Raw genomic sequence first — 25,378 nt, 5'->3', positions numbered from 1 at the left:
GAGCAGAAAAAATAGCATTATTCTGGCCCCTTCCCTGATTCTGTGTGGCTACATATCTTTGGAAGCCGAAACTCTTACAATGTGTCCAACAATGGCAAAAAGAAAATTGTGGGAGCCAAACAGTCTGGGTTGACAATATATTTAAGGTTCAGTTGTACATCCGTCTTCCAGAAAAGAGGGTATGTCAGAGCTTCTGACTAACAACAAGACTTTTCTTTCTGACAACCCATGCATATGCATCTTTTCCATTTTGCTTCATTTATTTTTAAAAGGAAAAGGAAGATAGAAAAGTTTAGAGGAGAATGCTGGCTTCATTTACTTTAAAAGGTTAAGAAAGATATCAAAAAATTAGGATAAAATAAAGGGTGTTTTAGAGGAAATTAATTTTATTATATAAATAGTTCAACAAATTAATTCCATGTTTCTAATCATTTTCCCTGTTAAATGTTAACAGACATTTTTATTTGCAAAAAAATAAACATTTTAAAATTTACAGTTGTGCTACAGTTTATAGCTTTAGTGTATGATTCAGGATATTCCTCAGTTCAGTTCCTATCATTATTTCTCTTCTCCTGGTCTTACTACAGTTTTTCACTTCCATATGTGTTCACTCATTGCCCTCATCCAGCCCACTAGTTTACTTTTTTTTTTCTCCCAGAATAGTGTCTACGATTTTATGGTCAGTTTCAAATCCCTGTGTAATATGATATCCTCCTACATCTATGTTCTCATTTCCTATGACACCCCCACTCATCCTCCCTTTGCTCCTCCTAAACTTCAATGCAGTCCATTGATGCAGTTAGAAAAAAAAATCTCATTCCAAATGAAGCATCCACCCTCACTAATATTGACACATGTTCATGTTTGACCCTTATGCTTAACATTCCTTGAGAAATCCACTTTGGTAGGTATTACTTTACATAGATATCCTCTTTATTTGAAAGAGATCCCTTTCTAAATGTATGTATAAAGAAAAAAAAAATTCTCTTACCATTGTGATTAGATCCCTACCTTATTTTGTTCAAGGTCAGAGATTTTGACTTAAGCAACAGGATATTTTAGGCAAATAGGTATTGTTGTGGCTCTTTAGTAATCAACTGTAAAGCTAAGTTTTCCATTTTTCCCTACACATACTATCTTGGAATCAGCAATATTTCAGTGTCTTCAAATAAACAAGAGCTAGCTTTCCAATACATATCATATCAGGGAACATACATTTAAATGATGGGAAATTAAGGTCAAATTCCAGGAATGCTGATTTTTTAAAACCACAAAATAAGAAGCTCTATAAAAAAGTGCTTTGCGTTTTTTAAAAGAACTTTTTATGTCACATAGAACAACCACATTTATTTTGCTAACATTTAATATACTATATTCATTTTTCCCCCAAATACTTGCAAGTTCAAATTAGCCATTAGGCATTCTAAACAAAATAGAATAGGAATTATTTTATGATTTATGTTATGGAACATTGGAGTGACCAGATTACATTGTAAATGATTTTACCTATTTTTTTTTCATTTATTCTCAATTTACAGTCTGTCGAACAAACTGATAGGTCTCCTTTATATTTTCAGATGTTTCTGAATGTAAATTTGTAATACTCCTTGAATAGAATTACAATTCACTAGTTAGACATATTTTTCCTACTGTGTAATTTTTATCACCCCTGCTATATTTCGTAATTATTTTCAAACAAAATATAAATATGATTTTTTGTTATAACTATTTGACCATTCAAAATAATTTCAAAGACTAAGTAAAAACAATAGCCAGGTAGTCATTGGCCTTTATAATCAGCTTTTTGAAAGCATTATTAGGAAAATAAGTAAATAAATAATTCTTAGCAACTTGAAAGGAATAGAGAACTGTAGAAAAATTATAAATGGTTCTTCCATATTAAACTCAAAAATCAAAAGGCATTAAACACATATGGCCAGCTGAAATTGCATTGAAATGATTAGTGCTTTTAGACCTACTTTTGGCCACTGCTTGTATGATCAGTGATGCCCAGCCAAGCAGAAATTTGGACTTGAAACAGGTCAGCAAAAAGAAACATAATATAATTAGTAGTGACACTTGAGATTTAGCTGTTATTGTGAATGGAATCATGCCTTTTATATCGTTAACTATGAGCTTATAATAAATATAACAGTAACCCACAGAGGTTATCACGGAAAGAGCCAAATTATTTAATGGGAAAGATTTGAAAACTTTGAATCTTGATATTGAATAGTCACTTAACTTCTCTGAACTTTAGTGTTTTTATATATTTGGATGGATTATATAAAATGTTAAGATAAAAAGTCTTTATTACTTAAAAGTCATGGTTATTACTTATCTGAGTCAGTCATTATTTTGGTATTATTTGAATTGATATACAATTATATAGCAAATTTTAAAAGAAATCTGGTGATGGTTACCAGAGGCTAGGAAGAATAGTCGGGAGGTAGATATGAAGAGGGAATGGTTAATGGGAACAAAAAGACAATTAAATAAAAGGAAGAAGATTTAGTGATTGATAGAGCAATAGGAGGACTTTAGTTAACAGTAATTTATTGTGTATTTCAAAACAACTGATAGGGTAGAATTGGAGTGTTCCTAACACACACACAAAAAAAATGATGAATGCCTAAGGTGATAGATATCCCAATTACCCTGATTTATCATTACACATTGTGTACTTGCATCAAAACATCACATTTACCCCACAATGTGTACAACTATTATGTATCCATAATAATTAAAAAGAAAAAAATAAAAAAGAAATATGGTTTCAAATTAGTATTTGATATAATAACAGTATATAGTAAAGTACAAATACGTGTGTGTGTATATATATATGTACAAATAAACCATCTCATAACAGATGCCCATCATTTAATGCCCTTTAATATAAATTTAAAGATAGGAAATCTTATCATACATTGGTTTATTTACCAAAAAAAATTAATTAATTTGGTTTTCAATCAAATTTGGGCCTGGTTTACATTTTGACAATCTAAGGTTTTAAAATGTTGTTATATATTACTGTGAAGACAAATGTCCAATGACTCAAATTCTGACATAAAATTTAAAGAATGAAACTTCTATTTTTATTATAATTATTATAATACAGGTAAGAATATCATCCCATCATACATTATTTAAGTGACCCTGTAAAAAGGAGACAAGATTTGAATATGTGCATTTTTAGGTGTATATGATGGCTCTGAGATGATGACATCTGCAATATTTTAATTTTGCCAAAGCCAAAATGTAGTTTTTCTACTTTTTTTGAGTTTGAATAATAGCAGTAATTTATAGAAATTATTTGAACTCAAAAGCTAATAGCATCTTTGACTTTGCTTGTAGATATTCCATATTCAACATGCTCCTAAGTTTTTCTTAATCAACCCTTTAAAAGGACCTTGGGACTAAATTATTTCAAGTTTAACAAAATATAACCTTTTCTTTTTAAAGTAAGGAATAGTGTCTTTATACATGATCATAAATAAAGATGACTTAAAATATATTTCTTTACCAAGTAGCTTTTGTTTTATTTAGTAATAAAGAATTTCTGGAGTTATGATTATAATATTAGAAGTTACCTTAACTTCTCAGGAGTTACGACTTCACAATGTATCAAATGCCTTTTTCATTTTCTTTTGTACTCCTTTCTTATGACCTGTTAATAGCAAATTAAGTTCTTTCGACTTTCCACTTCCCACTTCCTGCTGCTCATTCTTGCCGTGTAGCTCTGTAGCTAGAACATAGCTCAGATAAATAGCTTACAATTGGAAATGAATGAAACACATGTAATATGTTCTCTTTCAAAATCATATACCTCTTGCTTCTGTGTACTCAAGGACATGTCAATATCACTAGGATGATACAACTTAGAAGAGAATGACATTAAAGCAAAACCATGAGTCAGACAGAGAAGGTACTCAAAGGTAAAATTCATTTTTAAGTCCTTTTCTTCTACCACTTTGGGGCAAACCACCCTTAACCTTGTTCCCTGTAGTGTTATAAAAAATAAAAATAAAAGTAAGGAGGAGAGCAGAAATTAAAATTAAAACAGGGAAACTTTTAGTTAATCTGATAATTAAATGTTTCTTTATTCTTCAAAAATATACATTGTAGTTTTGTGTGTATCTAGATGTTTAAATATTTGTAAACAAAAGAGCATAGGTAAGAGATTATAAATATAACATGTAACATTAAGTCATATGCATATTTATGTTACTTAAAATATATGAGATAAAATATATATAGAATTTATTTATACACTTGTATGTACATATGCATATATGGATGTAATAAGTAGTCCAAAGTAATGTTTTAATGTCTGCATATTTCCATTCAGTTTATTTATTTGCTTGCATAGTTTTTAGAGACTGACTATGATTGTTTGTATTACTCATCGACATTGATAACACATAAGCTTGGGAAATCTTTTTTTTTTTTTTTTTTTTTTAAGAGACGGAGTCTCGCTCTGTCGCCCAGGCTACAGTGCACTGGCGTGATCTTGGCTCACTGCAAGCTCCGCCTCCCGGGTTCACGCCATTCTCCTGCCTCAGCCTCCCAGGTAGCTGGGACTATAAGCACCCACCAACACGCCCAGATAATTTTTTTGTATTTTTAGTAGAGACGGGGTTTCACCGTGTTAGCCAGGGTGGTCTTGATCTCCTGACCTCGTGATCCGCCCTCCTTGGCCTCCCAAAGTGCTGGGATTACAGGCATGAGCCACCGCGCCCGGCCCTACAAGCTTGGGAAATTTTTACCAGTTTTTTAAATTCAATAGTGCCTAGACAGCTAGAAAACATAAATTTGCCCAATTTTTCTTGCCTATCATGCCCCCATCAGTCCATTCTTCAGGTTGGGTCATTCTTCTAAATATGGATCTATATCTAGGTCTAGCTACATAGATAATAAACATATATTACATATATATGCAATGATCTCATATATATATATGAATCATGTGCATTCTTTCTTCAACTTATTTAAACCTCTTGCATTGTTTTAATTTGAACAAATGTAACACAAATTATGTTGGAATCTATGTCATAGGTTATAGTAATTAATTATTTTTACTATTTTCATATTTTTGTATGTGTTAATATTGTCCCCACATGTAAACTTTAAAAGTTCTTAATCACAGAGATTAAAGTATATTTTTTAAAGAATTATAAGCTGCGGCCGGGCGCGGTGGCTCACGCCTGTAATCCCAGCACTTTGGGAGGCCGAGGCGGGCGGATCACGAGGTCAAGAGATCGAGACCATCCCGGCTAAAACGGTGAAACCCCGTCTCTACTAAAAATACAAAAAAATTAGCCGGGCGTAGTGGCGGGCGCCTGTAGTCCCAGCTACTTGGGAGGCTGAGGCAGGAGAATGGCGTGAACCCGGGAGGCGGAGCTTGCAGTGAGCCGAGATCCCGCCACTGCACTCCAGCCTGGGCGACAGAGCGAGACTCCGTCTCAAAAAAAAAAAAAAAAAAAAAAAAAAAAAAGAATTATAAGCTGCAAATTATAAACTGAGTAAGATATTAATCAAAATTGCAACTACTCAAAATAATTTATAATAAAGATTTAGTATGTTTTCTCCAAATGAAAATATAATTTGGAATGATAAATGTCCAATAAATATGAATGGTAATTTTAAGCCTACGGTATAATTTTTTATTTTTTTTTAGGTAGTCTCTTTTTTTCTTGTTATTATTATACTTTAAGTTTTAGGGCACATGTGCACAATGTGCAGGTTTGTTACATATGTATACATGTGCCATGTTGGTGTGCTGCACCCATTAACTCATCATTCAGCATTAGGGATATCTCCTAATGCTATCCCTACCCCCTCCCCCCACCCCACAACAGTCCCCAGAGTGTGATGTTCCCCTTCCGTGTCCATGTGTTCTCATTGTTCAATTCCCATCTATGAGTGAGAACATGCAGTGTTTGGTTTTTTGTCCTTGCGATAGTTTACTGAGAATGATGATTTCCAATTTCATCCATGTCCCTACAAAGGACATGAACTCATCATTTTTTATGGCTGCATAGTATTCCATGGTGTATATGTGCCACATTTTCTTAATCCAGTCTATCATTGTTGGACATTTGGGTTGGTTCCAAGTCTTTGCTATTGTGAATAGTGCCCCAATAAACATACGTGCGCAAGTGTCTTTATAGCAGCATAATTTATAGTCCTTTGGGTATATACCCAGTAATGGGATGGCTGGGTCAAATGGTATTTCTAGTTCTAGATCCCTGAGGAATCGCCACACTGACTTCCACAATGGTTGAACTAGTTTACAGTCCCACCAACAGTGTAAAAGTGTTCCTATTTATCCACATCCTCTCCAGCACCTGTTGTTTCCTGACTTTTTAATGATTGCCATTCTAACTGGTGTGAGATGGTATCTCATTGTGGTTTTGATTTGCATTTCTCTGATGGCCAGTGATGATGAGCATTTTTTCATATGTCTGTTGGCTGCCTAAATGTCTTCTTTTGAGAAGTGTCTGCTCATATCCTTGGCCCACTTTTTGATGGGGTTGTTTGTTTTTTTCTTGTAAATTTGTTTGAGTTCATTGTAGATTCTGGATATTAGCCTTTTGTCAGATGAGTAGGTTGCGAAAATTTTCTCCCATTTTGTAGGTTGCCTGTTCACTCTGATGGTAGTTTCTTTTGCTGTGCAGAAGCTCTTTAGTTTAATTAGATCCCATTTGTCAATTTTGTCTTTTGTTGCCATTGCTTTTGGTGTTTTAGACATGAAGTCCTTGCCCATGCCTATGTCCTGAATGGTAATGCCTAGGTTTTCTTCTAGGGTTTTTATGGTTTTAGGTCGAATGTTTAAGTCTTTAATCCATCTTGAATTAATTTTGCCTACAGTACAATTTTTCACATCAAACATTGTAGTTAAAAAAACAAATTAAATGCCTGATTCATTCTAGATAATGTAATTATAATTGTTTATTTGATGCAAAGATGTCTTGATCTCTAGACAAAAATTTTTTACCAGTGAGAGAAATTATTTATAAATAATTCAAGTATTAATTATAGTGGATTATAAATAATGACCTAAAAGTCAATTCAACTGGTAATACAGAGTACCTCTATGGTGATTAAGCTGATAGCAAAAGAAGTCACTTAGTATCTACGTAACTAAGAACCGCCCTGCCTGTATTTTGCAATCATTAAATATATATCCCTACAGTTCAACACTTAATTTAGACATAAATATTTGAAACAGTCAGGGTTTTCTTTTTCTAAATAAAACAGAGACATACTGTTAAATAGCAGTATGTGTGTATATATATGTGTATATATAACATATATATTACATAATTACATGTATAATAATAAAGCAATGAGTGAAAAGCTATGGAGATTTATGATACTATGACAATTAAACTAGAGTTTCAAATCACTTTGACGTTTCCATTAACTTCCTTGTCCAACCATGATTAATTGCTAAACTATATAGTACCTCCACCATGAGACAGGAGAGCAAGACCACAACCCTCTGAAAACTTTGCTATTTGAAGTAAAGCTAAAGAATGGCAAGTATTTAGAAGATAAATGCAGGATAGTTTTGGAGATCAAATGAGTTACAATGGTTTAGAGGGGTTGCAAACTCAAATGTCTACAGTGCTCATGCAGGTGATATAAAAATATAGAAACATAGTAATAGCTTTTTTAAAAATGCAAAATAATAGGGAGTAATTGAAACATTAAATTCTCCCTTGAAAACCCCTTAGGTTTCATGAAAAGGCCTTCAAATTCAAGATTTCACAACTCTGTGTCAAGTAAATAAAGCATGTCTCTGGGCTAGATTCACTCCATGCACTGTCAGTTTAAGGACTTACATAATGGGATACAGGGACCCTACTTATTGTAATACATATCTTGTATGGTCATTGTAAAAAGTATTTAAAATAGAGAAAAACATTTATAAAATAGAATAAATTCCCAAATTCCATATGTTAAAGACCTAATATTTTAATGCATTTTCTTCAAAGTGTTTCTCCACACATCTTAAATAGTTGTCACAATATTTCATGTTGCTTCCACAATGAAATAGTAGAGTTATTAAACATCTATTTTTAACACCTATCTCATAATCAATTACATAGTTAGGCAATACTTTGCCATTCCCCCCAACTGGCATTAAAATTTTTCAGTATTTTAAATACTGAGTTCACCATGATGAACTTCTTGCTTTGATTTTTTTTCTTTTCTTTTCATAAAGATATATTCACAGTAAAATAATCAAGTTAAATTTTATGGACATTTTTAAGGATCCTCCAAATTCCCAAATTATTCTCTAAAATGTGCATTATCGCTAAGAATTGACAGAATTGTCTCTTTCCCAGAATAACTTTGTCAAAATAACAATTATTTTTGAAGTCTTCACTAATTTGCTAAAAGAAAATCATATAGTTACATCATACCATTATGACAGCGCTTGAATGACAAGGCTTTGCTGAAACAAAGTTTGGTATAAATAAAATGTTAATCCTTTTGGCCTCGTCACTTCCCAGATGGCATCTCTGAAAAAAATCTTGAAATGTAAAGAAACCATATGACTAGATTCCAATTCTTTTTACAGGACATATGCTCCTTTCTGTTGACATATTTACATTTAGGTTGATAAAATTTCCCAGTGATGTCTAATCATGGATTTGACAAACACGTTTATAAAAAGAAGTGGTAAAAAAATAATAGCTTTACTTTCACAATTTGGAACTAAAAACATTGATGCTTTAAGAAATTATAAGATCACAAATAAAAATAATGGTGTTTTGAATATAGAAGACTTAAAATGCACATATGGAGAGATCAAGTCAATTGTTCTATTACTTTACTTTTTGTAGACCATTGATTTGCTTTCTGACTCAGCTTACTTTACCAGGTCTCACTGGGGCAAAATGTTGTAAATTGTTCATGTTCTGGACTTTCTCATTCTAGCCAAGATAGAATTTTCCCTTTCATTGTTATACATCTTGGGAGTTAACAGGCATTCATAGCTGAATAATTATACCATGGCAGGCATATGATATCTGCATAAACTCAAATTAAGCTCCTATTAAAAAGATAATCTACATGAAGTTTGAACACACATGCTTTCTGTTTTCCTTGGTTTCTACCATTAATTTTAATGATGACAAAAAGCAGATGAATTATGGCCCCAATGTTTTTTGGGGGAACCCAGGTAAATTCAGGTCCCTTAAATTTAAGAGGGCAAATCCTATTTAATCCAACTCTAAGGGCTCTGTGCATGTACATATTGTTATTAGAATGGGAATGGGTAACATGATACTAACTTTTCACAAACTTAGAAACAAAGTGACTTTATATATTTTTGCAAATGAAGTAGAAAATACGTTAATTCATTCTATTTACCTTTACTATGTTAATAGTGTAACATGAAGACCATGTTAAATACACCATTATCTGTCATGGTAAATTCAGTTCAGGTGAATTCGGGATCTAATATATGCTTGAACTACAGGAACTCCAAAGGCATATTAAGAGACAGTATATATGGTATAACAGCTCTTTATGTCTGAAGTGTATCAATAAAGTAGCATAGTTGAGTAAATCAAGTACAAAAAAATCAGGTTTTTATGATCTCTCCACTAACTACTGTTTCTGGAAATAGGTTATGTGGTTTTTCTACAAACCAGCTGTGTGAAATTAATCATTACTTTACTTGGTTTCTGTCTCTTTGCTACTTTATCTACAAAAGTGGAACAATCACACCATGTATTTCAAGGGGCATTATGAGGATAAAAAAGTAAATACCTACAAAGCACTTAAAAGATTGTTCTTGGCTAATAGCTGCTTAACAGTTATTAGCAATAATTATCCTAGAAAATGAATTATTCATATGCTATCTATCATAACAAAGATATACCATAAGTGTCCCATAAGTGTATCTGTGGTAATAAATTATAATTAACTAAATTTCTATAGGTTTTGCATATGCTTCCTTATGTTAATACACATTTTTATTTCATTTAATCCTGGAATCGGTAGAGGATTTCCATTACATAGATAAGAATATTGACACTTCAAAGATATTTTTAAAACTTGTTTTAGAATATGCAATCAATAATTTTACAATGAGGCACAGAATCTGGATTTCATAATTGATAAACCATAATATTTTTACTACATGCACCTTAAAGGTTAAGTAATGGGGAAATTCTTAGTCACAGAAAAGCCATATAATGCCTGGAGACCAATATCAAAGGTAAGATTTCTGCTACAATAGAGAAGTGCTTGAATGGATACAATAGAAGTCAAAGTCAATGGCCAGGCACAGTGGCTCCTTTCTGTAATCCCAGCACTTTGAGAGACCGAGGTGGGCAGATCACTTGAGGCCAGGAGTTCGAGATCAGCCTGGCCAATATGGTAAAACACCTTCTCTACTGAAACTACAAAAATTAGTGGGGCAGTGGCACATGCCTGTAATCCCAGCTACTTGGGAGGCTGAGGCAGCAGAATCACTTGAATCTAGGAGGCAAAGTTTGCAGTGAGCCAAGACTGCACCATTGCACTCCAGTCTTGGTGACAGAGCTAGACTCTGTCTCAAAAAAAAAAAAAAAAAAGACCAGGTGCAGTGGCTTATGCCTGTAATCCCAGCACTTTGGGAGGCCGAGGCGGGTGGATCACCTGAGGTCAGGAGTTCAAGACCAGCCTGGCCGTCTCTACTAAAAACACAAAAAATCAGCCTGGCATGGTGGCAGGTGCCTGTAATCCCAGCTACTCGGGAGGCTGAGGCAGGAGAATCACTTGAACCCAGGAGGTGGAGGTTACAGTGAGCCGAGATCACACCATTGCACTCCAGCCTGGGCAACAGCAAAACTCTGTCTCAAAAAAAAAAAAAAAAAGTTGAAGTCAATGAGGGCAGAGGCAAAGCATTTCTACTTAGATTCAGTCTGTAGATAAACTTTCTGGGAATGTTGTCTAGCTCAATAATAAATATTATCTTTCCTTCTATTTTAGATTCTAGTAGAGATTCTCTAGAAACAGAGGTTTTAATCAGTAAAAAAAATTCTAGCCTAGATATAACTAAAGATCAATCATAGAGATTATACATGAATATTAAACTGGATTATATTTATATAACTGGAATAATTTTACCATTAAATAGGTAAAATGCATTTTTATCAAAACAATTATTAAACAATTATAGTTGCTTTGTAGTTGTAGTTGCTGAGATTTTTTTCCTAAAGTGTAGAATTTTTGAAAAAATAGTGGTTGTTATTTGAGTAAGCATAATAACAATAATTAGTGATTCAAAATATTTTAGTTAACAACTATATTTTAGATTTAAAACTAAATATTATAATTATTATACATCTAAAGCTACTCAAAACTATTAATTTATATAAAGAAGTTAATATACTCAGACCTAAATTTCCTTATAGGTACACATCTTCCTTAAACTTTTATCTTTCACCGAGGTTCTTCTTTCAATTAATTGTAGTACCTTATTTGCAGGAATTTATTGTTTGCTTTATTGAAGGGAAAGGTGAAATTCTAATGGAATATGGCTGTAAATCATAGTTAAATCTAAGGTAGGGTTAATACATTATAAACAAGGCAGAAAATTATACTTTCTTTATTCATGTGAGTTTATATTTTAAATTCCTCAGCACTTAGTGACAGAGATCAGGGTTACATTTCTTTGCATCTTCCCACAATGTATATTGTTAAATAACTACTTCTGACAGGCTAATTTTATGAAGCTTATAATTAGTAATTGCTTTCATATTCTTTTGAAGATCCAAGGACTCTTAATAGCTTGCAATTTTGAAATAACTGTGGAAAGTAAGGAAATTTCATACAGGCCAGGAAACCAAGTTTAAGCAGTTTGATTAGCAGAAGAATGAGGGCTGAGGTTCAATAATTTAATTTATAAAAATAAGTGAATTCCATATAATAGTATGTAGACAGTGCAAAGGAAAAGAGATTTTAAAAATCAGGATAATCTCTGTATTTATTTAGAAGGATGGAGACAAAGAATAAAAGCAGATGTAAATGTAGATGTTCAGAGTGATACGACCTTAAAATTACACTGTGTTAGAAATGGAAAGACCTTTGCCTTACCATGACTACATAAAGTCTATAAATTTTTAAGATTGCTGATAAAACATATGTATGATTTGCTTCATTTTTTTAGCTTTTTTTTTTTTTTTTTAGCTTTTTTTAAGCCATAGCTTTGTTGGAACATCAAAGAGGATTCTGATGCAACAGATGTTGAGAAACATGAGTTAAAGAAGCTAAGTGACTTGACCAAGTTGCAGCATACAACACTTAAAATTCCTGTAAACGGCCATAATGCATGAAAAGACCTAATTCTTCCCTTCCCAAGCTATGGCAAATCGTTCTTTGCCTGCTGCCAGGCTTGTGTGTCTCTAAATCATCCCTGTCAGATTCATCATCATATTGCACCTCTTTGATGCTATTGTTCTGCAACTAAAATTATCACTGTGTCACTGGCACCTTCTGAATACAGACTAAATTGCTTATTTTGGCATAGAAAACTCTCCACAGTTTGGCCCCCACATTTATTTTCCAGCTTCATCTTTTAATATATGTATGTATTCCTCATTGTCCAAACTCAACTTTATGTTATTCTTCAAGTATGAATCATATTTATTTTCTTTGGAAATTTTGCTGGTGCTATTTTCTCTAGATAGAATAATCTGTCTCCCTGCTTTCCTCTGCCCTCTCTCTGTGGATTCTACTGGCCTCCTACACTCACATCCAGTCCACACAGACACACACACCCACACCCATACACACACGTCTTTCTACAAAATATATTTTGAAGGACTCAATCAAATAAAGCTATTATTTATATACTAAAACAGAACATTCACTGTACTCACACTGAACTCTGATGGTTTCCAGTTTCTAGTATTTTAGTGTGTTATGAATACTCTAAAATAAAATAGTTTTAGTGTATTATAAGTACACTAAAATAAAATTGTTTCTACTACTTTAGTGTGTTTAGTGTAAATAATATTATGTTTGTGAATCTTGCATTTTTATATAGTGGTTAAAACCATGTTTTTGGAAAAAGATGTTATCGAATTCTTATTCCCTCCATTATTAGCTTTGTGATTTGATGTTATAGGCAAAATGTCTCAATTTTCTCGTCTGCAAAGCAGGTATTATAATAATAGTAGGGTTGTCATGAAGATTAAGTGAAATAATATATACATGAAGTTTTAAGGCAATGTTAACACTTAAATGTTAAATGAAAATAGCTAACAAATAATTTATAAACTCTGTAATAGTGTCTGTAATGTATTATTGTTATATAATTTTTGTTGTACTTCGTGGTATACTCCTTGAGATTCACAACTAGATCTTTCACCTCCGTATTCCAAATACCTATATAAACCTTACATAGTAACAGCTTAATATGTATCTACTGAATCATTAATATTTATATTAGTGCTTCAAAGACTTACATAAATTAGCAAAGTCTCAAAAATAAATACAAGGTGAACATATCAAAAATAAATTATATATTTCTGTAAACAGAAAATTATATTTCACAAACCCAAGCAGCTTCTCCAGTTTCCTCCTCCGCTTGCCTACATCCCAGAGCTGCCTGCAGTAATTCCTATTGAGCAAAAACAGTCAGGAAAAAAACAACTGGAATGATGGGATACACAGGAGAGACATTACATTAATCAGAAATAAGTTTATGTTCCACAAAGAAATAAGTTGATAATTTTGCCTATCAGTGAGGCTGACCCTTTTCAGAGGGGTAATATTTATTGATAAGCTTAATATAAAAATCAGGTGAAGAATTACAAGGCCCAGTAAAAATTAAGGAGGAACAAGATTATAAAGATAAAGGGACTTTGAACTATAGGTTTTATTTTTTAATCTTTTATAACAAGAGTAGACTAATATTTGAAGTCTGTAAGCATCAATAATATATTAATAATAACACACATACCACCAAGACGTTAAAGAGTATCATGTTTCCCAAAACTCACTTTAAAACTTGGTAATATTTGAATTTTGTAGGCTAACATCTCCTACACAATTGTGTTCACATCTGTGTCAGATCCTTAACTTATTAGCTCCTGAAGGCGAAATTATTAGTTCCTGGGATGTGTCTTTGCTACTCCCTGTATGTAGTTTTTCCACAGTCTCTTCCAACCAGTTACTAATTTTTTCACTCATTCATTGATTCTTTTATGAGCTTTAACTCAGTGCAAAGCTCTATATTTATATTTGAAAGAAATGTACTTAGATTTGTCCCTCACCTTTAAAAAAATCTAATAAAAAAAGGAATACATGCATCACCGAATATCAAGTTTGAAGTTTAAAGAAAATAACAGAAGAAAGGTATGGATAGATTGCTATGCAAGTTCCAGAGAGAAAACATTTTTCTCTGCTGGGGAAAATAAATGGACATTTAATGTACTGTGCATCATGGCCTAATCTTTACATAATAGGTAAAATTTGTACCTGCTTAGATTAGGGAAAAGTGACTCCAAATACATGAAGAATGACATACAGGAAAAATAGAGTGAGTATTTTTTCATCTGTCCTGCCATTAAACACCACTTCGCATAACTCCTGGCCTAAAAAAGAATTAACCCAAAAACTAAACTAATGTTTTCAGTGTGATCCCTCCTTCTAGATCTCATGGACTTTTTCTAGTATGATTGTGATCTCATGTCAAAATTTCTCTTCCTGGAGGTCCTCTGACTGCTGACTCTATATTGTGTGCTGTTAAGGGCATAGGATTCAGAATTTGGACACGTGTTGTTCAATGGAAATATTCTATATTTGCCTTTATCCATTATGGAAGCCACTAGCCATATGTGACTATTGACATCTTGAAATGTGACTCATGAAGCTGACGAATGGAATTTTTCCCTTTGATTAGTTTAAATTAAATAACCACATGCAATGTGTGACTGTAGTATTGCACAGTGTATATCTAAAGTCGCCTTTTAAGGAAAAGTAAATTATGGATAAATTTGATCTGCAGAAGGATCTCTTTTGGTCAAAGTGCAATATGTCACAATATTTCCTTTGAGATCTTATTACACTCTTTATTTGCTGAAGCCAGTAGTTTCACCCTGTATAGTTATTGCCTGTATACTATTGTTAATTCAAGTATGTGCAAAGGAAGACTAACTAATTATATCAGCAGGAATCTCTGAAGACTTCCAGGAAGTGACTTTTGAATTTAATCTCAAAGGAAAAGAAGGTCACCCTCAGGCTGGGGGCTGAGGATGAGTGAGGGCAGAAGGAAGGGGTCTCAGGCAGAGATGAGAAAAGGATGGCATGACCAGGGGAATATTCAATAATTTAGTATAACTGGCATACAAAGTGTCTTTTGTGAGAAACAGAAAGGCAGAAAATGCCATTTGAAAAAAATATATGATAACATACATTCTTTCAATACCGTCCAACTATTAGTTTTCACATAATTTTATGCAATTTCCCACCTAAAATATTCATCCTATCACATATATAAAGGTTTCCTTTCTTTTCTTTTTCTTTTACAAACATCATTTACGTTTTAATCATTAAACACAACAACTAAAATTACAACTTTGTTACCTAAATTTATGACTTGGACAACATTGAGATTTAGGAAATTTATTGCCATGAAGTCACCAATGGTTTATAATTTATAAGACTTTGGATTAGACATTAGCACAGTTATTATTTCCTCTAATGCCTTACCTCACCACAGTCTAATAACATTCAGGAAATCCAAAAGACAAAGGGGAGAGAGTGGTCTTGAAAGCTAAAAACAGTCGTTGAAAACTGATGCAATCATGTAATAAAATATAGCACAATAACTTATATGATATGCTCATAGCATCTGCTAAAGCAATTAGAATCAGTATAGCTAAAGTTTTATTCATGTATTTCTACAGTGAAAACTCTTTCAGCCCATGTAAGACATTTAAGTTATGCAGTTTAATTGTGTACATTGGTCTTAGGATTTTCAGTCTTATTACTTGCATATGCGATCTATTTCACACTCTTCCAAAACAGAAATCCACTGGGTAGCAATCAGATTTTGAAAGTCCTTCCAAGTAAAGCCAGATAGTGGTCTATGTGATATTTTTCATATGATAACATAGGGTGTTAATACGCAATTATATTAACACTGTTCGTTCATGATAATTCAATACCTTCACACATCTAAATTAAGGTCTTGCTCATTAGATAACAGAAACAGCAATATTAGTGTCTATTCATATAAATGACTTTAAATTTATCAGATATATTAAAGAGGACGCTGTTTTATTTGATGATTTTCACACGCATTCTATGTAATGTTGTAACTTTTAGAGATTCTCAACAAAATATTTTAATGAATCGGCAGTTATATTCCTTTTGAAAGAATGTCTCATATTAGAAAAATAATGTACTTTTTCTAATTTAAATTATTTTTTCATGAAACCTTTTCAATTATCTTCTCATCTACCTATAAGAAAGAATTTTCAATGCATTGTGAAAGGTCAAAATATTTACAGATATTTCAAACATGCCTTATAATTTTGCCTGATAAAAATATAGGCTGGCATTTCTACTGTGACATAAGATATTTTGATCATAGTAGAACAGAATAAGTTTACTGTAACAACTATAAACAATGGTTAAGGGAAATTAATAAATCTGTTTCAAGGGCATACTAAGTATTTTGTAGACATTATAACAAGAATTATTTACTTCAACTATGAGATTTTCTTATCTGCTTATTACAGGAGTCTGAATTTCAGAAGGGTGTAGGAACTTGCCTGAGGCACAGAGCCAATAAAAGGCACAGCCAGAGATAACACCCAGTTCTGCCCGATTTCAACATCCTTAAAGCCCATTATTACATGTAATGGGCATGAATTTTACACTACAAACATGTGTAAGAAGTGTCATTTTATCTCTCTATCCAAAAATCAAATTATATTTATTTCAGATCCTCATCTCACTAGACTGGAAAGGAAATTCAATTTATTCTCTATGGAATTGTGTAAGAATATAGAAGATTTACATGGTAGATTCCCAGAAATTTGGGTAGGAATTACATTAAAAGGAAACATATTATGTATCGGTAAAAGAGGTGACTAACTTAGTATTTATTTACGGGGTTGAACAAAAAGGAGGAAAGGAAAGGGATGCCAGCTTTCAACACATTACCTGACACCATGACGAAGGATAGTTTTTCATCTTCTCTTGAACCATAACTGACATGCTTAACCTCTCTTCCTATGAGTTCTAATCCTTTACCTTGTAAATCAAATACTGCATGAAATTGGAAGCACTTCTCATCTACCTTGGCACTGTCTGATTAACTTGGACATATGATCCCAGACATAAAGTATCTTATGCTTTGAGGAGATAGCACGTCTGTCTGTGTCAGTAGTGTAAAATGTCTTATTGAGTACAAGAAAATATAATATTCATAACAATAATTTCTACCACACTACCACTTCGTTCTGCTGCTTCTTTTAGTCTGTAATATATAGTCGCATATACATATTTTAATATTTTGTATGAATTGTGACAATAGAGTATAGGTCTTTTATGTTTCCTTTTCACTATTTCCTAATTTTTCTTTTGTTTTTTCCAGTTTTTTTTTTTTTTTAATTATACTTTAAGTTTTAGGGTACATGTGCACAATGTGCAGGTTAGTTACATATGTATACATGTGCCATGCTGGTGTGCTGCACCCACTAACTCGTCATCTAGCATTAGGTATATCTCCCAATGCTATCCCTCCCCCCTCACCCCACCCCACAACAGTCCCCAGAGTGTGATATTCCCCTTCCTGTGTACATGTGATCTCATTGTTCAATTCCCACCTATGAGTGAGAATATGCGGTGTTTGGTTTTTTGTTCTTGCGATAGTTTACTGAGAATGATGTTTTCCAATTTCATCCATGTCCCTACAAAGGACATGAACTCATCATTTGTTATGGCTGCATAGTATTCCATGGTGTATATGTGCCACATTTTCTTAATCCAGTCTATCATTGTTGGACATTTGGGTTGGTTCCAAGTCTTTGCTATTGTGAATAATGCCGCAATAAACATACGTGTGCATGTGTCTTTATAGCAGCATGATTTATAGTCCTTTGGGTATATACCCAGTAATGGGATGGCTGGGTCAAATGGTATTTCCAGTTCTAGATCCCTGAGGAATAGCCACACTGACTTCCACAATGGTTGAACTAGTTTACAGTCCCACCAACAGTGTAAAAGTGTTCCTATTTCTCCACATCCTCTCCAGCACCTGTTGTTTCCTGACTTTTTAATGATTGCCATTCTAACTGGTGTGAGATGGTATCTTATTGTGGTTTTGATTTGCATTTCTCTGATGACCAGTGATGATGAGCATTTTTTCATGTGTTTTTTGGCTGCATAAATGTCTTCTTTTGAGAAGTGTCTGTTCATGTCCTTCGCCAACTTTTTGATGGGGTTGTTTGTTTTTTTCTTGTAAATTTGTTTGAGTTCAATGTAGATTCTGGATATTAGCCCTTTGTCAGATGAGTAGGTTGCGAAAATTTTCTCCCATTTTGTAGGTTGCCTGTTCACTCTGATGGTAGTTTCTTTTGCTGTGCAGAAGCTCTTTAGTTTAATTAGATCCCATTTGTCAATTTTGGCTTTTGTTGCCATGGCTTTTGGTGTTTTAGACATGAAGTCCTTGCCCATGCTTATGTCCTGAATGGTAATGCCTAGGTTTTCTTCTAGGGTTTTTATGGTTTTAGGTCAAACGTTTAAGTCTTTAATCCATCTTGAATTGATTTTTGTATAAGGTGTAAGGAAGGGATCCAGTTTCAGCTTTCTACATATGGCTAGCCAGTTTTCCCAGCACCATTTATTAAATAAGGAATCCTTTCCCGATTGCTTGTTTTTCTCAGGTTTGTCAAAGAACAGATACTTGTAGATATGCAGCGTTATTTCTGAGGGCTCTGTTCTCTTCCGTTGATCTATATCTCTGTTTTGGTAGCAGTACCATGCTGTTTTGGTTACTGTAGCCTTGTAGTATAGTTTGAAGTCAGGTAGTGTGATGCCTCCAGCTTTGTTCTTTTGGCTTAGGATTGACTTGGCGATGCAGGCTCTTTTTTGGTTCCATATGAACTTTAAAGCAGTTTTTTCCAATTCTGTGAAGAAAGGCATTGGTAGCTTGACGGGGATGGCATTCAATCTGTAAATTACCTTGGGCAGTATGGCCATTTTCACGATATTGATTCTTCCTACCCATGAGCATGGAATGTTCTTCGATTTGTTTGTATCCTCTTTTATTTCATTGAGCAGTGGTTTGTAGTTCTCCTTGAAGAGGTCCTTCACATCCTTTGTAAGTTGGATTCCTAGGTATTTTATTCTCTTTGAAGCAATTGTGAATGGGAGTTCACTCATGATTTGGCTCTCTGTTTGTCTGTTGATGATGTATAAGAATGCTTGTGATTTTTGTACATTGATTTTGTATCCTGAGACTTTGCTGAAGTTGCTTATCAGCTTAAGGAGATTTTGGGCTGAGACAATGGGGTTTTCTAGATATACGATCATGTCGTCTGCAAACAGGGACAATTTGACTTCCTCTTTTCCTAATTGAATACCCTTTATTTCCTTCTCCTGCCTAACTGCCCTGGCCAGAACTTCGAACACTATGTTGAATAGGAGTGGTGAGAGAGGGCATCCCTGTATTGTGCCAGTCTTCAAAGGGAATGCTTCCAGGTTTTGCCCATTCAGTATGATATTGGATGTGGGTTTGTCATAGATAGCTCTTATTATTTTGAAATACGTCCCATCAATACCTAATTTATTGAGAGTTTTTAGCATGAAGTGTTGTTGAATTTTGTCAAAGGCTTTTTCTGCATCTATTGCGATAATCATGTGGTTTTTGTCTTTGGCTCTGTTTATATGCTGGATTACATTTATTGATTCGCGTATATTAAACCAGCCTTGCATCCCAGGGATGAAGCCCACTTGATCATGGCGGATAAGCTTTTTGATGTGCTGCTGGATTCGGTTTGCCAGTATTTTATTGAGGATTTTTGCATCAATGTTCATCAAGGATATTGGTCTAAAATTCTCTTTTTTTGTTGTGTCTCTGCCTGGCTTTGGTATCAGAATGATGCTGGCCTCATAAAATGAGTTAGGGAGGATTCCCTCTTTTTCTATTGATTGGAATAGTTTCAGAAGGAATGCTACCAGTTCCTCCTCGTACCTCTGGTAGAATTCAGCTGTGAATCCATCTGGTCCTGGACTCTTTTTGGTTGGTAAGCTATTGATTATTGTCACAATTTCAGACCCTGTTATTGGTCTACTCAGAGATTCAACTTCTTCCTGGTTTAGTCTTGGGAGAGTGTATACGTCGAGGAATTTATCCATTGCTTCTAGATTTTCTAGTTTATTTGCGTAGAGGTGTTTGTAGTATTCTCTGATGGTAGTTTGTATTTCTGTGGGATCAGTGGTGATATCCCCTTTATCATTTCTTATTGCGTCTATTTGATTCTTCTCTCTTTTTTTCTTTATTAGTCTTGCTAGCGGTCTATCAATTTTGTTGATCCTTTCAAAAAACCAGCTCCTGGATTCATTAATTTTTGGAAGGGTTTTTTGTGTCTCTACTTCCTTCAGTTCTGCTCTGATTTTAGTTATTTCTTGCCTTCTGCTAGCTTTTGAATGTGTTTGCTCTTGCTTTTCTAGTTCTTTTAATTGTGATGTTAGGGTGTCAATTTTGGATCTTTCCTGCTTTCTCTTGTGGGCATTTAGTGCTATAAATTTCCCTCTACACACTGCTTTGAATGCGTCCCAGAGATTCTGGTATGTTGTGTCTTTGTTCTCGTTGGTTTCAAAGAACATCTTTATTTCTGCCTTCATTTCGTTATGTACCCAGTAGTCATTCAGGAGCAGGTTGTTCAGTTTCCATGTAGTTGAGCGGTTTTGAGTGAGATTCTTAATCCTGAGTTCTAGTTTGATTGCACTGTGGTCTGAGAGATAGTTTGTTATAATTTCTGTTCTTTTACATTTGCTGAGGAGAGCTTCACTTCCAAGTATGTGGTCAATTTTGGAATAGGTGTGGTGTGGTGCCGAAAAAATGTATATTCTGTTGATTTGGGGTGGAGAGTTCTGTAGATGTCTATTAGGTCCGCTTGGCGCAGAGCTGAGTTCAATTCCTGGGTATCCTTGTTGACTTTCTGTCTCGTTGATCTGTCTAATGTTGACAGTGGGGTGTTGAAGTCTCCCATTATTAATGTGTGGGAGTCTAAGTCTCTTTGTAGGTCACTCAGGACTTGCTTTATGAATCTGGGTGCTCCTGTATTGGGTGCATATATATTTAGGATAGTTAGCTCTTCTTGTTGAATTGATCCCTTTACCATTATGTAATGGCCTTCTTTGTCTCTTTTGATCTTTGTTGGTTTAAAGTCTGTTTTATCAGAGACTAGGATGGCAACCCCTGCCTTTTTTTGTTTTCCATTTGCTTGGTAGATCTTCCTCCATCCTTTTATTTTGAGCCTATGTGTGTCTCTGCACGTGAGATGGGTTTCCTGAGTACAGCACACTGATGGCTCTTGACTCTTTATCCAATTTGCCAGTCTGTGTCTTTTAATTGGAGCATTTAGTCCATTTACATTTAAAGTTAATATTGTTATGTGTGAATTTGATCCTGTCATTATGATGTTACCTGGTTATTTTGCTCGTTAGTTGATGCAGTTTATTCCTAGTCTTGATGGTGTTTACATTTTGGCATGATTTTGCAGTGGCTGGTACCAGTTGTTCCTTTCCATGTTTAGTGCTTCCTTCAGGAGCTCTTTTAGGGCAGGCCTGGTGGTGACAAAATCTCTCAGCATTTGCTTGTCTGTAAAGTATTTTATTTCTCCTTCGCTTATGAAGCTTAGTTTGGATGGATATGAAATTCTGGGTTGAAAATTCTTTTCTTTAAGAATGTTGAATATTGGCCCCCCCTCTCTTCTGGCTTGTAGGGTTTCTGCTGAGCGATCAGCTGTTAGTCTGATGGGCTTCCCTTTGTGGGTAACCCGACCTTTCTCTCTGGCTGCCCTTAACATTTTTTCCTTCATTTCAACTTTGGTGAATCTGACAATTATGTGTCTTGGAGTTGCTCTTCTCGAGGAGTATCTTTGTGGCGTTCTCTGTATTTCCTGAATCTCAATGTTGGCTTGCCTTGCTAGATTGGGGAAGTTCTCCTGGATAATATCCTGCAGAGTGTTTTCCAACTTGGTTCCATTCTCCCCATCACTTTCAGGTACACCAATCAGACGTAGATTTGGTCTTTTCACATAGTCCCATATTTCTTGGAGGCTTTGCTCATTTCTTTTTATTCTTTTTTCTCTAAACTTCCCTTCTCGCTTTATTTCATTCATTTCATCTTCCATCGCTGATACCCTTTCTTCCAGTTGATCGCATCGTCTCCTGAGGCTTCTGCATTCTTCATGTAGTTCTCGAGCCTTGGTTTTCAGCTCCATCAGCTCCTTTAAGCACTTCTCTGTATTGGTTATTCTAGTTATACATTCTTCTAAATTTTTTTCAAAGTTTTCAACTTCTTTGCCTTTGGTTTGAATGTCCTTCCGTAGCTCAGAGTAATTTGATCGTCTGAAGCCTTCTTCTCTCAGCTCGTCAAAGTCATTCTCCATCCAGCTTTGTTCCGTTGCTGGTGAGGAACTGCGTTCCTTTGGAGGAGGAGAGGCGCTCTGCTTTTTAGAGTTTCCAGTTTTTCTGTTCTGTTTTTTCCCCATCTTTGTGGTTTTATCTACTTTTGGTCCTCAATGATGGTGATGTACAGATGGGTTTTTGGTGTGGATGTCCTTTCTGTTTGTTAGTTTTCCTTCTAACAGACAGGACCCTCAGCTGCAGGTCTGTTGGAATACCCTGCCATGTGAGGTGTCAGTGTGCCCCTGCTTGGGGGTGCCTCACAGTTAGGTTGCTTAGGGGTCAGGGGTCAGGGACCCACTTGAGGAGGCAGTCTGCCCGTTCTCAGATCTCCAGCGGCGTGCTGGGAGAACCACTGCTCTCTTCAAAGCTGTCAGACAGGGCCATTTAAGTCTGCAGAGGTTACTGCTGTCTTTTTGTTTGTCTGTGCCCTGCCCCCAGAGGTGGAGCCTACAGAGGCAGGCAGGCCTCCTTGAGCTGTGGTGGGCTCCACCCAGTTGGAGCTTCCAGGCTGCTTTGTTTACCTAATCAAGTTTGGCAATGGCGGACGCCCCTCCCCCCGCCTCGCTGCGGCCTTGTAGTTTGATCTCAGACTGCTGTGCTAGCAATCAGCGAGACTCCGTGGGTGTAGGACCCTCCAAGCCAGGTGCGGGATATAATCTCGTGATGCGCCGTTTTTTAAGCCCGCCGGAAAAGCGCAGTATTCGGGTGGGAGTGACCGGATTTTCCAGGTGCCGTCTGTCACCCCTTTCTTTGACTCAGAAAGGGAACTCCCTGACCCCTTGCGCTTCCCAAGTGAGGCAATGCCTCGCCCTGCTTCGGCTCGCGCGTGGTGCGCGCACCCACTGACCTATGCCCACTGTCTCGCACTCCGTAGTGAGGTGAACCCGGTACCTGAGATGGAAATGCAGAAATCACCATCTTCTGCGTCGCTCACTCTGGGAGCCGTAGACCGGAGCTGTTCCTATTCGGCCATCTTGGCTCCTCCTATTTCCTAATTTTTCATCAAAATACACATATATCTGGGTATTTCTTTAATGATTCTTCTAAGTTTTTGAATAGAATATGTCTTTTCATATAATTTTAATATTTAAATGCCTATGATAAATTCGTATTTGTGAAAAAGTTTGTAATTTAGTGATGTATATAAACATCTCAATGTAATATTTCTTTGACACTATGTTAGGAAAGTTGAAAATAATGGCAACAACCTGTGTTAATTTCCATATTATTTTGCTATACTGGTAATACTAACATAATTAATAGAATATAAATAGCATTTTTAAAATTTTGCTGCTTTTAAAATGTTTTAAATAAATTATTTAACCCTCCAAATTAACTTGTGAGGTTAAATATCCTTACATGTGCTGACATTTTAGGACCAGAGGCTCAGAGATATGAAACAGTGACCAGAGAACCAGAGCTAAGCCTGGTGCCTGGCTCATTGCGTTTTCCACTATAACTTAGTACAATTCTGTGAAAGCCCATAAATTATTTCACAGTATAGATTTTAGAACTAACCTAAAGAAATATCATTGGTACAGGACAGCTAATTGCCAAATACAGAATAAATGCAAAGAAAGAAGATTAGAATTGGTAATTCTCATTCACAGTAGTAAAAACAGAACACTTGGAATTTCTTCCTTTTTTTTAACTTTCGTCCCTAATTCAAATGAGTTTTAAGAGTAATAATTTGAAACCCTGCCATTAGTTCCATCAGAAATATTAAATGTTAAACAAAATGATCCCTACTGATCATAAAATGGACACCATTTAATATACCAAGATGGTAGAAAATACTTTTATGTGAATAGTAGAGAAATTGCCAAAAAATAAAAAGCTATTTTATTTCAGTCTGTGGACAACTTAATGTACTACTGGAAAAAGCATACATATTCTTATCTAATTAATTCCCAGGGCACTTGGTTCTTAAAAGAATGCTCAGAAATGTCCCCAGATTTACTCCACTGTCACATATAGAGTGCAGTAGGTAGACACATTCTGACAACAGGGTCTCAAGCGTGAATTAGTTATCTCCTTATCAAGATTTTTGATGTCATGCTTTCCTGCACATATTCTACCTTGAGACATGTGTATATTTTTTATAGGTAGTCAAAAGTTCATTCCTGTTTCTGAGTACTTAGGGACCCAACAGAGCAGGCTTTCCCGTGGTAATAATGTGCTTGTTATTCCATTGACACCACCTCCAGGCACACTGCTCTCCTAACCTGGGATATTTCCCTCTTAGAGAAGTGAATGAGGCATTTCAGGCACTTCACCTGCTGCTGTAACTTAAAAATACACAAGAAGCACGTAGCCACCAAAGATGTGCAAAGGACATAGTGGGGAAAATAAATTTGATGGCTATTTAACATGTCTTCTGGAAAGTACATACTGACAAGATTGTGTAATTTATTCTAGACAACTAACGTAGTGAATTGCTATTTTTCTTTTCTACAAAGGAAGGAAATGAGTCATTTTATTTAAGTTTAACATTCTTTCCTCAAAAGCCATTATGATAGATTATAACATACCTGTGTGATAAAATAATCACTCTCCTCTTACCATGACACATCCTGTTCTTTATAGTTTATTTACACATTATTGTTTGCAACGTGCTAACTGCTACTAAATATCATTAAGCTAAGTAGATATTTGGCTAGTATTACCTATTTTCAATACACTTGATTTATTTTGCCATCTCAAAAATTTGAACAAATAA

The 25,378-nt window shown here is 34.9% G+C and overlaps 1 protein-coding gene across 3 annotated transcripts in view; it reads left to right on the top strand.

Moving 5' to 3' along the window:
• The window catches only part of SEMA3A (semaphorin 3A), a 536,949-nt gene that overhangs the window by 406,672 nt on the left and 104,899 nt on the right, over positions 1 to 25,378 (top strand). The window lies entirely within an intron of this gene.

Source organism: Homo sapiens, chromosome 7 (genome assembly GCF_000001405.40).
Source record: "Homo sapiens chromosome 7, GRCh38.p14 Primary Assembly".
NCBI lineage: Eukaryota > Metazoa > Chordata > Mammalia > Primates > Hominidae > Homo > Homo sapiens.
Note: the sequence above shows the minus strand (reverse complement) of the source record. Positions and strands in the feature narration are given on the sequence as shown.